This window comes from Homo sapiens, chromosome 15, assembly GCF_000001405.40.
Source record: "Homo sapiens chromosome 15, GRCh38.p14 Primary Assembly".
Taxonomy (NCBI): Eukaryota; Metazoa; Chordata; class Mammalia; order Primates; family Hominidae; genus Homo; species Homo sapiens.
Genome location: NC_000015.10, coordinates 90,272,831 through 90,286,637, shown reverse-complemented (window position 1 = coordinate 90,286,637; position 13,807 = coordinate 90,272,831). Strand labels below are relative to the sequence as shown.

The 13,807-nt window shown below is 44.9% G+C and overlaps 2 pseudogenes across 1 annotated transcript, besides 1 other annotated feature; one reads left to right on the top strand and one right to left on the bottom strand.

Moving 5' to 3' along the window:
* On the top strand, positions 1,037-2,315 carry NIFKP5 (NIFK pseudogene 5; annotated as a pseudogene).
* Positions 8,761-12,010, bottom strand: PERPP2 (PERP pseudogene 2; annotated as a pseudogene). Its single transcript, XR_007064755.1, has one exon. The product of XR_007064755.1 is annotated as a PERP pseudogene 2 (transcript).
* Positions 10,870-11,423: an enhancer, noted in NCBI's record as "H3K27ac-H3K4me1 hESC enhancer chr15:90818447-90819000 (GRCh37/hg19 assembly coordinates)". NCBI's record gives its function as "activates a minimal SCP1, AML or CMV promoter by ChIP-STARR-seq in naive H9 embryonic stem cells {active_cell/tissue: H9 hESC(naive)}" and the evidence as "EXISTENCE:reporter gene assay evidence [ECO:0000049][PMID:30033119]".
* Positions 12,011-13,807: the final 1,797 nt, after the last annotated feature.

Below are 13,807 nucleotides of genomic sequence, written 5' to 3'. Positions count from 1 at the left end.
AATTATTTACTCTAAGCATCTGGTTATGATTTTGAAACAATAATACATGCTGTCTCCGCCCTTTTTTTCTTTTCTTTTTTTTTTTTTTTTTCTTATGGAAACAGACGTTTTATCCAGAAAACCCCAGTGACTTTTTTTTTTTTTTTTTTCCAAACATGGTCTTACTCTGTTGCCCAAGCTGGAGTGGAGTGGTGGATCTCAGCTCACTGCAGCCTCAACCTCCCACCTCAGCCTCCCCAGCAGCTGCATCCACAGGCACCACTGTGCCCTGCCAATTTATTATATTTTTTGTACAGATGGGGCTTTTCCATGTTGCCCAGGCTGGTCTCAAACTTCTAGGCTCAAGCGGTTCGCCCACTTCGGCCTCCCAAAGTGATGTGACTACAGGCATAAGCCACTGTGCCCAGCCTGCAGTGACTTTTTAAAACATAAGTTCAAGCATCTCTTCTTAACTCCTTTAATTGGAGGTATCTCTTCTCTCATTGTCCTCATCTTTAGTGTTCCCCCAGAGTTCACTGCTGACTGGATGTACAACACATATTTCTTTCTTTTTTTTTTTTTTTTTTTTTTGAGACAGAGTCTCGCTCTGTTGCCCAGGCTGGAGTGCAATGGCGCGATCGCGGCTCACTGCAAGCTCCGCCTTCCGGGTTCACGCCATTCTCCTGCCTCAGCCTCCCGAGTAGCTGGGACTACAGGCGCCCGCCACCACGCCCGGCTAATTTTTTGTATTTTTTAGTAAAGACAGGGTTTCACCGTGTTAGCCAGGATGGTCTCGATCTCCTGACCTCGTGATCCGCCCGCCTTGGCCTCCCACAGTGCTGGGATTACAGGCGTGAGCCACCGCGCCAGTCCCACAACATATATTTCAAAGTCAAGGCTGAGTGCGGTGGCTCACGCCTATAATCACAGCAATTTGGGAGTCAGGGCAGGCAGATCGCTCGAGTCCAGGAGTTCTAGACCTGCCTGGGCAACATGGCGAAACCCTGTTTGTATTAAAAATACAAAAAATTGGGCGTTTCCGGGAGCGCCCCGTGGAGTTGGTGTCAGCCGCTTTTGGCATGGCGGCCTTTTCCGGCCCGGCTGGGCCAATCCTGTCGCTGAACCCACAGAAAGATGTGGGTTTCAGAAGGAGGTGGCACAGGTTCTGCGCATAACCCAGCGAGAAAAACAAGAACAACTTACTCCTGGAGTGGTCTACGTGTGCCACCTACATAACCTACTGAACGAAACCCAGATTCTTTCATATTCCTCCCAGTGTGGCACTGTTACAAGCTTCAGACTATCCAGACAGAAAAGGACTGGAAATAGCAAAGGCTATGCATGTGTGGAGTATGAGTCTGAGGATGTTGCCAAGATAGTTGCTGAAACAATGAACAACTACCTGTTTGGCGAAAGACTCTGGGAGTGTCATTTTATGACACCTGAAAAAGTACAGAAAGAACTCTTTAAAGACTGGGATATTCCGTTTAAGCAGGCATCATATCCATCAGTGAAACGGTATAATCAGAATCGGCACTTACACAAAAGCTGTGGGTGGAGGGGCGATTTAAAAAGAAAGATTACTCAAGAAGAAATTAGCTTAAAAAGGAATTGATTATGATTTTCCTTCTTTGATTTTACAGAAAACAGAAAGTATTTCAAAAACGAATCATCAGACGTCTACAAAGGGCCAGGTTTGCCGGGCACGGTGGCTCACGCCTGCAATCCCAGCACTTTGGGAGGCCGATGCGGGCGGATCACCTGAGGTCAGGAGTTCGAGACCAGCCTGGCCAACATGGTGAAACCCTGTTTCTACTAAAAAATACAAAAATTAGCCAGGCATGGTGTTGGGCACCTTTAATCCCAGCTACTCGGGAGGCTGAGGCAGGAGAATTGATCGAACCTGGGAGGCAGAGGTTGCAGTGAGCCGAGATCGTGCCATTGCACTCCAGCCTGGGCAACAAGAGCGAAAGTCTATCTGAAAACAAACAAACAAACAAACAAACAAAAAACAAAAGGCCAGGTTTTACATAAGAAGCAGCGAAAGGTTTTAGGCACTCCTGACACTCCTGAGAAGACTGTGGATAGCCAGGGCCCCACACCGGTTTGTACCTCAACATTTTTGGAGAGACGAAAATCTGAAGTGGCTGAAATGAACAATGATGATGAAGATAACAAAATAGTTTTCAAACAGCCCATATCCTGTGTAAAAGAAGAAATACAAGAGACTCAAACACCTACACATTCACAGAAAAAAAGATGAAGAAAAAGCAATTAGTGATTTTCAATGTATTATGTATAATATTTCTTCTGAAAAACATAATATTTTTATGAGAAAAAATACAAAAAATTAGCTAGGCATGGTGGCTCATGCCCATAGTCCCAGCTACTCAGGAGGCTGAAGTGGGAGGATCACCTGAGCCCAGAAGTTGAGGCTGCCGTGAGCCATGATCATGCCGCTGCACTCCAGCCAAGTCAAGTCATTACATTTATCTTAACCTATTCTAGGCTGGCTTAAGAGGGATCTGTATTAAGAATACAATAGGCAATCTCACAGACATCTAAGTACAGAACTCAATATATGACCACACCATGGAAGGACTGTGCTGGGAGGTGATTTTCCTCTCCTGCATGCCTTCACTCTGGACTTCTGCTCCATGCTTGTGCTTTGCTTTGCAGATGGACGTTCGGCACGTGCTCCAGGCTCCTCCAGCCGCTGAGACTTTGGCTTGCCCTGGCAGTACCCCTGGTCCCAGTGTTACTGGACCTTTCCATACAGATGCTCCTCTGCAAAAAATCTATCGAACACTCTCTGTGTCATTTCCAATTAGCAGGATAAAGATTCTGATCTGCCTAGCAGTGGGGGTGGGAGTTCCCTAGTTGTCCCTGGATTTGTAGTGCTGCCCTTTCCAGAGACTCGAGGAGGAGCTGGATATCCAAAAAGAGGGTGTGGGTAGGGAATCAGTAGTACAGTCTACTTCAACAAGAAAGTATAAAGTAGAGGCGGTGGCTCACGCCTGTAATCCCAGCACTTTAGGAGGCCGAGGCAGCCGGATTACTTAAACTCAGGAATTTGAGACCAGACTGGGCAACATGGCAAAACCCCATCTCTACTAAGAATACAAAAAATTAGCGGGGCATGGTGGCACATGCCTGTAGTCCCAGCTACTTAGGAGGTTGAGGTGAGAGGCTTGCTTGAGCCCAAGAAGTTGAGGCTGCAGTCAGTCGAGATCACCATGCCACTGCACTCCAGCCTGGGCGACAGAGCAAGACCCTGTCTCAAAAAAAAAAAAAAAAAAAAAGTTTAAAGTAGAAGCAAGCATCTCTATGCATGACTGAAGTCATGCTTTCCATACATTTTTTTCCAACTTGCCTTTTTTCTCTCTAAAACACTGTATCTTAAGCTTTTCCCTGTTATCAAGTACTCATAAGCATTATCTGAATGGTTGTATCAGAATCCATTATCTGGACTCATTGTCATTTATCCATCTGTAGTTGCTGGGGATACTGCCCTTTCTGCCACACTCAGTCACCCTTCTGACCTTGCTCTGTGTCCAGTTATCTACTAATACACATACTGGTCATTTAGGACTTATAATTAAGAAGAAATAGTTATCATAGTTCCTAACACTTCAAAAAGAATGTAGCTTCCTAAAAATAGAATGGCTTGGTGGTTATGACAATTTTAAAGCGAAACAGACAAATCGATATTTAAGTTAACGTTCTGCTTTCTTCTTGTATCTATTTTTCACTTCTCTGTGATTTTGATGGGTAAAGTTTCATTTGGAAGGATTTTTATTTCAAAATAGAAATAGCATATGCCATGAGAATGGGAACTCTGAAAGGTTCAGCTTTCTAGTCATTAGTTTCCTAAGATTGCCACAAAAGCTACTGATAGTCAATCATGATTGGCCTGTAGGGAAAGTGAGTTAATATTATGTACAACTTAAGCACTTTACTTTCTATCAGATATGGAAAAATAGGTGGTGTGTTTGGAAAAGTATTGGGGTAGGAGTTAGGAAGCTTGACTGTTAGTCCCAACCCTCCTTCTTCAGCTGAGCACCTCTAGGCAATAACTCAGCAGCTATTTCTTAAATACCTAATGAGTTTCAGGCTTTGCTGTTGGGCTGGGAATCTTGACATAGATATTGCTTCACGATTCTCCAAGTCTCCCCTCCTCACCCCAGCTCACAGTGAGCTTTCTTATGCACTGTGTAAATTTCTCTCCTAACAGGCCCAACTCTCTCTCCAACCTGCTTCCCAGGGCAGTTGTGAGGATCAAATGAGAGAGAATATGGATGAAAGCAAATTGTAAATGATTTTAAAATGCAATAAAAATATGACCCATGGAAAATTATTTAAAGATCCTTAGAATTTTAAACAGCACATTAACCTGAGTTCTCTATGATTTTTATTTTAAATAGAGATGAAAGTTTTACAATGGACCACAGATATGGTTGAAAATCTTGGATTGATTATTGTCCGAGAAAATGATACAGTGGTTTGTGTGATGAATTTTCTAAAATTGCCAGCCAAAAAAAAAACAAAACCTTTTTTGAGTTGAGTCAAAGGAACGTTGACTGTGTAATGGAGAAATGTTTTGTGTTCACTAACAGCTTGCCTTTGATTCCAGCTGCAGCATATCATGAGTGATGAGATCTGTGTGCAGGTGACTGACCTTCACCTGGCAGAAAATAATAATGGGGCCACCAGAGGCCAGCCAAACACTCAGAACTCAAGGAGCCTCCTGGAGTCAACGTATCAGCGGAAAGCTGGGCAGCTAATGTCAAATGAGAAATGCTTTAACGTGAGACTTGCTCATATAGTCAAAGACCTTGCTGGTGACAATGTAAGTTGTTAAAATTATCTGAACCAGAAGTTAAAGCAAGGGTACTTTGACCCCATGATTCTACTTCTGCATTTTTTTTTTTTTTTTTTTTTGAGGCAGAGTCTCACTCTCGCCCAGGCTGGAATGCAGTGGCACGATTTTGGCTCACTGCAACCTCTGCCTCCCGGGTTCAAGCGATTCTCCTGCCTCAGCCTCCTGAGTACCTGGGATTACAGGCGCCTGCCACCATGCCTGGGTAATTTTTTGTATTTTTAGTAGAGACAGGGTTTCACCGTGTTAGCCAGGATGGTCTCAATCTCCTGACCTCGTGATCTGCCCACCTCGGCCTCCCAAAGTGCTGGGATTACAGGCATGAGCCACCATGCCCAGCCCTCCTGGAACTTTTTAGAGTTCCTAATGAGTTCACCAGAGAAACACAAAGTGGAAGTAACTATCTTCCTGGACAATCTATACTTTGTTTCTTTTTTGGCTTTAAAAACAAACAAAAAGAAAACTAGTTATATATGATTTTTACAGTTGTGTATTCTTCTTTTTCTCTGAACATTTTTCATAGTATGCTTTGTAAATATTATTGCTAGAAAAATGTTGGTACATGAAATCCATGGTCATGGTCATTACAGAAAAGAAAACGTAGGCCTGGCACACATAGGTCACACTTGTAATCCCAGCACTCTGGGAGGCCAAGGTGGGCGGATCGCTTGAGACCAGCTTGGGCAACATGGCAAAACCCCATCTTTGCAAAAAATACAAGAATGCAAAAATTAGCCAGGTGTGGTGGCTTGCGCCTGTAGTCCCAGCTACTCAGGAGACTGAGGTGGGAGGATGGCTTAAGCCTGGGAGGTCAAGGCTGCAGTGAGCCCTGATCGCATCACTGCACTCCAGCCTGGGTGACACAGCAAGACCCTATCTCAAAAAAATAAAAGAAAAAAAAATGCAGATAACCAAAAAACGTCACCTTAAAATTCTTTCCTGAAATTACCATTGATGACATTTCTAGACTTTTTTTCTATGCTTGAGTATATATTTTGAAAGAGTTTATACTGGACAAATGGTCTTTAAGTTTTTTTTGTCTTGACACAGGGTCAGGCTCTGTTGCCCAGGCTAGAGTGCAGTGACACAGTCTTAGCTCACTGCAACCTCTGACTCCTGGGTTCAGGTGATCATCATGCCTCAGCCACCCTGGTAGCTGGAATTACAGGCATGTGCCACCATACTGGCTAATTTTTGTATTTTTAGTAGAGATGTGTGTCAGATCCCAGGGTCCAGGTCCTGCCCATGCTGAAGTCTGAGGGGAGTGGGTGGGTAAGCAGAAAGAATATTCCGGGTGGGGGGGCTGTAGGCAGGTGAAAGATAGTTTTATTCAGCAGCAGCTCTCATTAACAGCTTTCTTACACTAGCTCTCTTATTAGCAGCTTACTCTTAACACTATTAGCCCTGTCTCAGCTGCTTGAGCCAGCTGCCCCCCAACACAGCTGTGCAGCCGACTCTCCCTTGCCTTCAGGTTAAGCAGCTTAACTCTTTCTCTCTGGGCACGAGCAAGCCCAGCTGTGTCCTGGCTCCCTCCTGTCGGTCTGCAAGATGGACAGCTTTGGCTTTCTCTTTCTCTGGGTGCCAGCACGCCTGCCATGTGTGGCTAGCCATGTGTACTACAATGACTTTCCTAAAAAAACAACTGGCTGGGCATGGTGGCTCATGCCTGTAATCCCAGCACTTTGGGAGGCCAAGGTGGGTGGATCACGAGGTCAGGAGTTCGAAACCAGCCTGGCCAACATGGTGAAACCCCATCTCTACTAAAAATACAAAGATTAGCCAGGTGTGGTGGCACGTGCCTGTAGTCCTAGCTACTTGGGAGGTTGAGGCAGAATAATTGCTTGAACTTGGGAGGCGGAGGTTTCAGTGAGCCAGGACCGTGCCGTTGTACTCCAGCCTAGGCAACAGAGTTAGACTCTGTCTCAAAACAAACAAACAAAAAAAAAGAACTCTGCCGTTTCAATTGTACTCATTTAACCCTTTTAAAAAATGTATTATAATTAGATATGTACCAAGGTTTAGTGTACCCTTGAAAAATACTGGCTTGAGATTTTGGCCCAAATCTGTCCCTATCTGCCAGACTCCTTCTAAATACAGATCTGATAATGTTGTTTCCCTCTTTTATTAATGACCAAAGCCAGCAATTATTGAGAAATAAGTGGCAGTAATTGTACGAAACATTTTACACGCATTCTCTCATTGAAACCCCACAACAATCCTGTGATTATCACTCCTATTTTACAGATGAAGAAACTGAGGCTGGGTGAACTCAGCCCCATGGCAAATAAGTGACAGGGCCTGAATCCAAACCTGGAGAGTCTGTCTCCAAAGCCTGAGCTTAACCTTGAAGCAATCTGCTTCCTTCATGGGCACCAGGTGTGGAATAAATTCCTAACTCCTTGGGAAGGCATTCAAGGCCTTTCCCAGTCTGGTCCCAACTATTTTTTGGAAACTCTCCTCTTCCCTTCCTCCCACCACTGTGCAGTCCACACCACTCAGTTCCCAACACACAGTGTCCCTCTACTCTTCAATACCTTCATTCATGCTCTTCCCTCAGGTCCTGTCTCTTGTTCCACATGCCCTATCAAACTTTTTTTTTCTTTTGAGGCAGGGTCTTGCTCTGTCACTCCGGCTGGAGTGCAGTGGCACAGTCGTGGCTCATTGCAGCCTCAAACCCCTGGCCTCAAGTGATCCTCCCACCTCAGCCTCCCGAGCAGCTGGGGCCACAGGCAAGGGCCACCATGCTGGGCTAATTTTTTTTTTTTTTTTTTTTTTTAAGACGGAGTCTCGCTCTGTCACCTAGGCTGGAGTGCAGTGGCGCGATCTCCGCTCACTGCAAGCTCCGCCTCCTGGGTTCACGCCATTCCCCTGCCTTAGCCTCCCGAGTAACTGGGACCACAGGCGCCCACCACCATGCCCGGCTAATTTTTTGTATTTTTAGTACAGACAGGGTTTCACCATGTTAGCCAGGATGGTCTCGATCTGACCTCGTGATCTGCCCGCCTCAGCCTCCCAAAATGCTGGGATTACAGGCGTGAGGCACCGCGCCCGGCCTAATTTTTTTTTTTTTTTAGGAGACGGGGTCTCACTATGCTGCCCAGGCTGGCCTCAAACTTCTAGCCTCAAGTGATCCTCTCACCTTGGCCTCCCAAAGTGCTGGGATGACAGGCGTGAGCCACTACACCTGGCCACCTGTCAGACTTTCTACACAGCATCTTCAAGGCTCTGTTCAAATGTCACCTCCTGGCAGGGTACAGTGGCTCACGCCTGTCATCCCGGCACTTTGGGAGGCCAAGGTGGGCAGATCACTTGAGGTGAGGAGTCCAAGACCAGCCTGGCCAACATGGTGAAGCCCCATCTCTACTAAAAATACAAAAAATTAGCTGGGCGTGGTGGCAGGTGCCTTTAATCTCAGCTACTTGGGAGGCTGAGGCAGGATAATCACTTGAACCCAGGAGGCGGAGGTTGCAGTGAGCCAAGATCATGCCACTGCCCTCCAGCCTGGGTGACAGAGCGAGACTCTGTCTCAAAAAAAAAAAAAAAAAAAAGAGTATCTATTCTTTGACTCACCAATTCTAATTCTGGGAATTCTAAGGAAATGATAAAGTTATATGTCAATAAAAAAGACAAAAAAGATTCGCTAAAAGAGGTTTATCACAACAGTGGTGAAAATTTAGAAATGACCAAAATGTCCCACAACAAAAGAATAATTATATAGCTCACTGTAGCCTTGAACTCCTGTGCTCAAGGGATTCTCCTGCCTCAGCCTCCTAAGTAGCTGGGACTACAGGTAACTGCTATTTTTATAGGTAAAAAATGGTCAGATATATGGTTCAATCTAATATTTGACTTCATACAACAAAATAATATTATATTCCATAAAACAAAATATGAGGTGGTTATTTTAACTGATGTAAAGATATTTATTGTCAAAATATATTCACCATACATGTAAGAAAGAATGTACAGTATAATCCCAATATTACTTTCATTATTATTTTTATCTTTCGAGGCAGAGTCTCTGTCACCAAGGCCGGAGTGCAGTGGTGTGGCCTCGGCTCACTGAAGCCTCTGCCTCTCAGGTTCAGGTGATTCTCCTGCCTCAGCCTCCCGGGTAGCTGGGATTACAGGCCTGTGCAACCATACCTGGCTAATTCTATTTTTTTTTTTCAAGTTTAGAATTCCTGGTTTATTGGGAAAACTTCATAATGAAAACTTCAATTGCCCTTTTCCATGACTTACAAAATAATAATGTGATATTTAAAATGAATTGTTTTTCATTATGTAAGTGGAAATGGTAAAAAATAGTAATAACCCATTTGATGCATCATATATATGCTATTCAGGGAAACTCAAATCCCTGAATTCTCCTGTGGCATGTTTTACATCAGACATTTTAAATCTGTTTACCAAGAAAGACCAGGATTTTAACTATATGTAGGTTTCTACTTACAGTTGCAATCTATCAGAAGCCTGTCTATATGATTAGAGCCCAGATACATCTGAAGTTTAGAAAAGCAAGCCATTTTTCTCCTTAGGCTGTTTTAGTGGCACTTTTGTGACAGGAAGGGCTCTCCTAATCCTTTAGTACACAACTTAACCAGATCTATCAGTCATGATAAATTAGACTGATATATCTAATCTATCAGTCCATCTTTCAATCCAGTTACTCTGGTTCTGAACCTATAAACACAAAACACTACAGATTTATTAATATAGCATTTTCCAACACCCTAACCCTATACAGAACTTTAAAAGAGAAAATTTCATCTAAATATTTCACACCTAAGAAAGCCTTACTAACCACGGCAACAGGTTTGGACCACAAAACAATACTTTCTTAGATGATATATAGAGTCAACATGAAGCTTAGCAAGAATGAATTATTCAGGGCTGGGCGCGGTGGCTCACGCCTGTAATCCCGGCACTTTGGGAGGCTGAGGTGGGCAGATCACGAGGTCAGGAGATCGAGACCATCATGGCTAACACGGTAAAACCCTGTCTCTACTAAAAATACAAAAAATTAGCCGGGCGTGGTGGTGGACGCCTGTAGTCCCAGCTACTCGGGAGGCTGAGGCGGGAGGATAGCGTGAACCCGAGAGGCAGAGCTTGCAGTGAGCCGAGATCACGCCATCACACTCCAGCCTGGGAGACAGAGTGAGACTCCGTCTCAAAAAAAAAAAAAGAATTATTCAGGATATTAATGAGAAATTCTCACAAACAATATGCATTTAGGAAACTATTTTGCTTCCTTAAATAGTTTGAAGGCTTGAAAAAAAAAGCTTTTTTTTTGGCATTTCTTTTAGAATGTTTGGTCATTGACAATTTTTGTTTGTTTTGAGACAGAGTCTTGCTCTGTTGACCAGGCTGTAGTGCAATGGCACAATCTCGGTTCACTGCAACCTCCACCTCTCTGGTTCAAGCGATTCTCCTGCCTCAGCCTCCCCAGTAGCTGGGACTACAGGCATGTGCCACCAAGCCTGGCTAATTTTTGTATTTTCAGTAGAGACGGCGTTTCACCATGTTTGCCAGGCTGGTCTTGAACTTGTGACCTCAGGTGATTGGCCTGCCTCGGCCTCCCAAAGTGCTGAGATTACAAGCGTGAGCCACCACACCCGGCCAGTCATTGACAATTTTTACCATTACCTTCCTCTTCTCCTTAGCCCTTAACAGACCAAGTCCATTCTATTTGGAAATAACAAGAACTTGATCCAATTATTAAATCTTGGAAACCATCTCATTTTTACCTTATAAAGTGTTAAGTTTCATGTTCATATTCTCTTACAAACATAGCATAAATGTTATGGGTAGATATAAGGAAATATTGGCATAGTATAGGTAATTAGTGAAAAGACACAACTTCACAAAACATAATAAAAGATGAACATGAAACTATAACACTACTTTAAAAATATTTTCTCCCAAATTATTTTAGCATTTTTGACTAGTTTGAGAATATGAACACTGCCAAAAAATAAGTTCGAAGTAGCCTAGAGAAACAGTTTCTTCTTCTGGAGTCCATCTTGGCAGTGGCGATTTTCTCCCACACTCATTCCCAAGTTAGGCGGATGTGTAGAAGTACCTGGGCTTGGTATTGCCCAGGAGGTCATCTTCGCAGCTGGGGAGGCAGCAGCAGAAGAAAGCACAGCCAATGAGGATAATCATGGCTGCCCACCCAAAGCCGCAGGCCCAGTTATAGATGGAAGTGACAGCGGGGCTTGGCATGAAGGTTGAAGGTTGAGTGTACTTCACGGGGTAAATTACCAGGGAGATGATCTGGAACACAGCAGCCAAGGCAAGGAGACCTCCAATCACTCTTAGGAAGACAAGTATCTGGGGTACACACAGGACGAAGAAGGAGAGGATGAAACAGATCACCAGGATGCTGACGCCCCAGAAAAGCATGGCAGCGCTGCTCGACCCCACGCGTACTCCATGAGGCTGTGGCAGCCGTCCTCTTAGGACCCGCTGCCGCCGCCGCCGCCCCTGTGGAAGGAAACATCTCCACCACAGCGAGGACGTCTGGACGCGGTCGCTCGACTGCAGCCAGCCGCGGCCGGCCAGCGCGATGATGTCGAAGGCGATGGCGCTGAGTAGGAGCAGGGTCAGGATCCAGCGGCAGCGCTCGCAGGCCAGGCCGCAGCGGATCATGTCGACCGGCGGTGTGGGGTCGAGAGGAGCCGAGCGGAGCGCGGCGGAGGAGCGCGCGGGCCCGGGCGGCGGCTGGGAGTCGCTAATTCTCGTATTTTTAGTAGAGACGGGGTTTCACCATGTTGGCCAAGCTAATCTCGAAATCCTGGCCTCAAGTGATCCACCCGCCTCGGCCTCCCAAACTGTTGGGACCACAGGCGTGAGCCACCGCGCCTGGCACAGTATTATTCTTTCGTGCTTGTCTTAAAGTTGTACATATGCTTAGAAAAATGTTGGTAGGATAGTAACTCTTCACTGGTGGGATCAGGGATGACTTTTGTTTTCATTTTGCTTGTCTTTTTCTTTAATGAGTATGTATTACTTGTGTAATAGATGAAGTAAAGCAGGAAGAAGGGTAGACATGGTATTTGAGATACAGCATTGGAGGTGTTTGTTTGTTTGAGATGGAGTCTCACTGTCACCCAAGGTGAAGTGCAGTGGCACAATCTCGGCTCACTGCAACCTCTGCCTCCCGGGTTCAAGCAATTCTCCTGCCTCAGCCTTCCCAGTAGCTGGGATTACAGGCATCTGCCACCACACCCAGATAATTTTTGTATTTTTAGTAGAGATGGGGTTTTGCCATGTTGGCCAGGCTGGTCTGAAACTCCTGACCTCAGGTGATCCGCCTGCCTCACGTGGTGGCTCACGTTGTAATCTCAGCATTTTGGGAGGCCGAAGCAGGCAGATCACCTGAGCACAGGAGTTCGAGACCAGCCTGGCCAAGATAGTGAAATCCTATCTCTACTAAAAATAAAAGATTAGCTGGGTGTGGTGGTGCATGCCTGTAGTCCCAGCTACTCGGGAGGCTAAGGAATGAGAATAGTTTGAACCCAGGAGGCAGAGATTGCAGTGAGCTGAGATTGAGCCACTGCACTCCAGCATGGATGACAGAGCAAGACCCTGTCTCAAAAGAAATAAAGGTCAGGCGTGTTGGCTCACGCCTATAATCCCAGCACTTTGGGAGGCCAAGGCAGGTAGATAACTTGAGGTCAGGAGTTTGAGACCAGCTTGGCCAACATGGTGAAATCCTGTCTCTACTAAAAATATAAAAAAAATTAGCTGGGCATGGTGGTGCCCGCCTGTAGTTCCAGCTACTCGGGAGGCTGAAGAATGAGAACCGCTTGAACCTGGGAGGCAGAGGTTGCAGTGAGGCAAGATTGAGCCACTGTACTCCAGTGTGGACGACAAGAGTGAGACCCTGTCTCAAAAGAAAAATAAAGGCCAGGCGTGGTGGCTCACACCTGTAATCCTAGCACTGTAGGAGGCCGAGACAGGCAGATCACTTGAGGTCAGAGTTTGAGACCAGCCTGGCCAACATGGTGAAACCCCATCTCTACTAAAAACACAAAAATTAGCTGGGCACAGTGGCAGACGCCTGTAATCCCAGCTACTCGGGAGGTTGAAGCAGGAGAATCAGTTGAACCTGGGAGGCGGAGGTTGCAGTGAGCTGAGATTGTGCCACTGTACTCCAGCCTGGGCGACAGAGCGAGAGTCCGTGTCAAAAATAAATTAAAAAACAAAGTTTTAAGAACAGCCTTTAGGTTTCTATAGCCCACTGCGAAAAGGGTATGGCATGATCAGATATTTGCAGGAGTGAGAAATGCAAATTTAAACAATCAAACAGCATCTAACACATCTTTAACAATTAAATACCATAAATATAACAAAACCATAAAAATACTGATAAGCTTCTACTATGAACTACATGATAGTGACAGGGCAGTGACAGCAAAGGTCCTATCTGCCCACTGTTGTATTACCAGCATCTGGATCGTAGAATTTTGCTTGGCATGTGACAGGGCTTTGTCATTTATACTGAGAACAGATCCTCAAGTTATCAATAATAATTGATAAAAGCAACAGTAATCAGTATTTTAATTGCTGTAATTGGACATTTGAAATAGCAGTAAGATTCTACAGAGTGGCAATGACTGAGTTGGAATGTAGGTGTTTCCATTAATGTCCTACATATATTTAAATTCGGAGTAGCCATTTTTCCTGGTAAATTGTGAAAGCAGGACATGGTTCTCCAAGGTTCACAGGTAAACCATCCCACCAGAGCACTAATGAGCAGACTGCTACATTTTACTTTATTTTGCTTGTAAGGAAAACAAATTGACTAAGCTGTCCCCGAATTTCTAGTTATAACAGATGTATTTCTAAAACAAGCAGTAAATTAACAAAATTATGGCAGACAGTGCCATATTCCCGGAATTCCAGAAGCCCTGGATTAATGATGAGACCCGAGTTAAGTCCCAG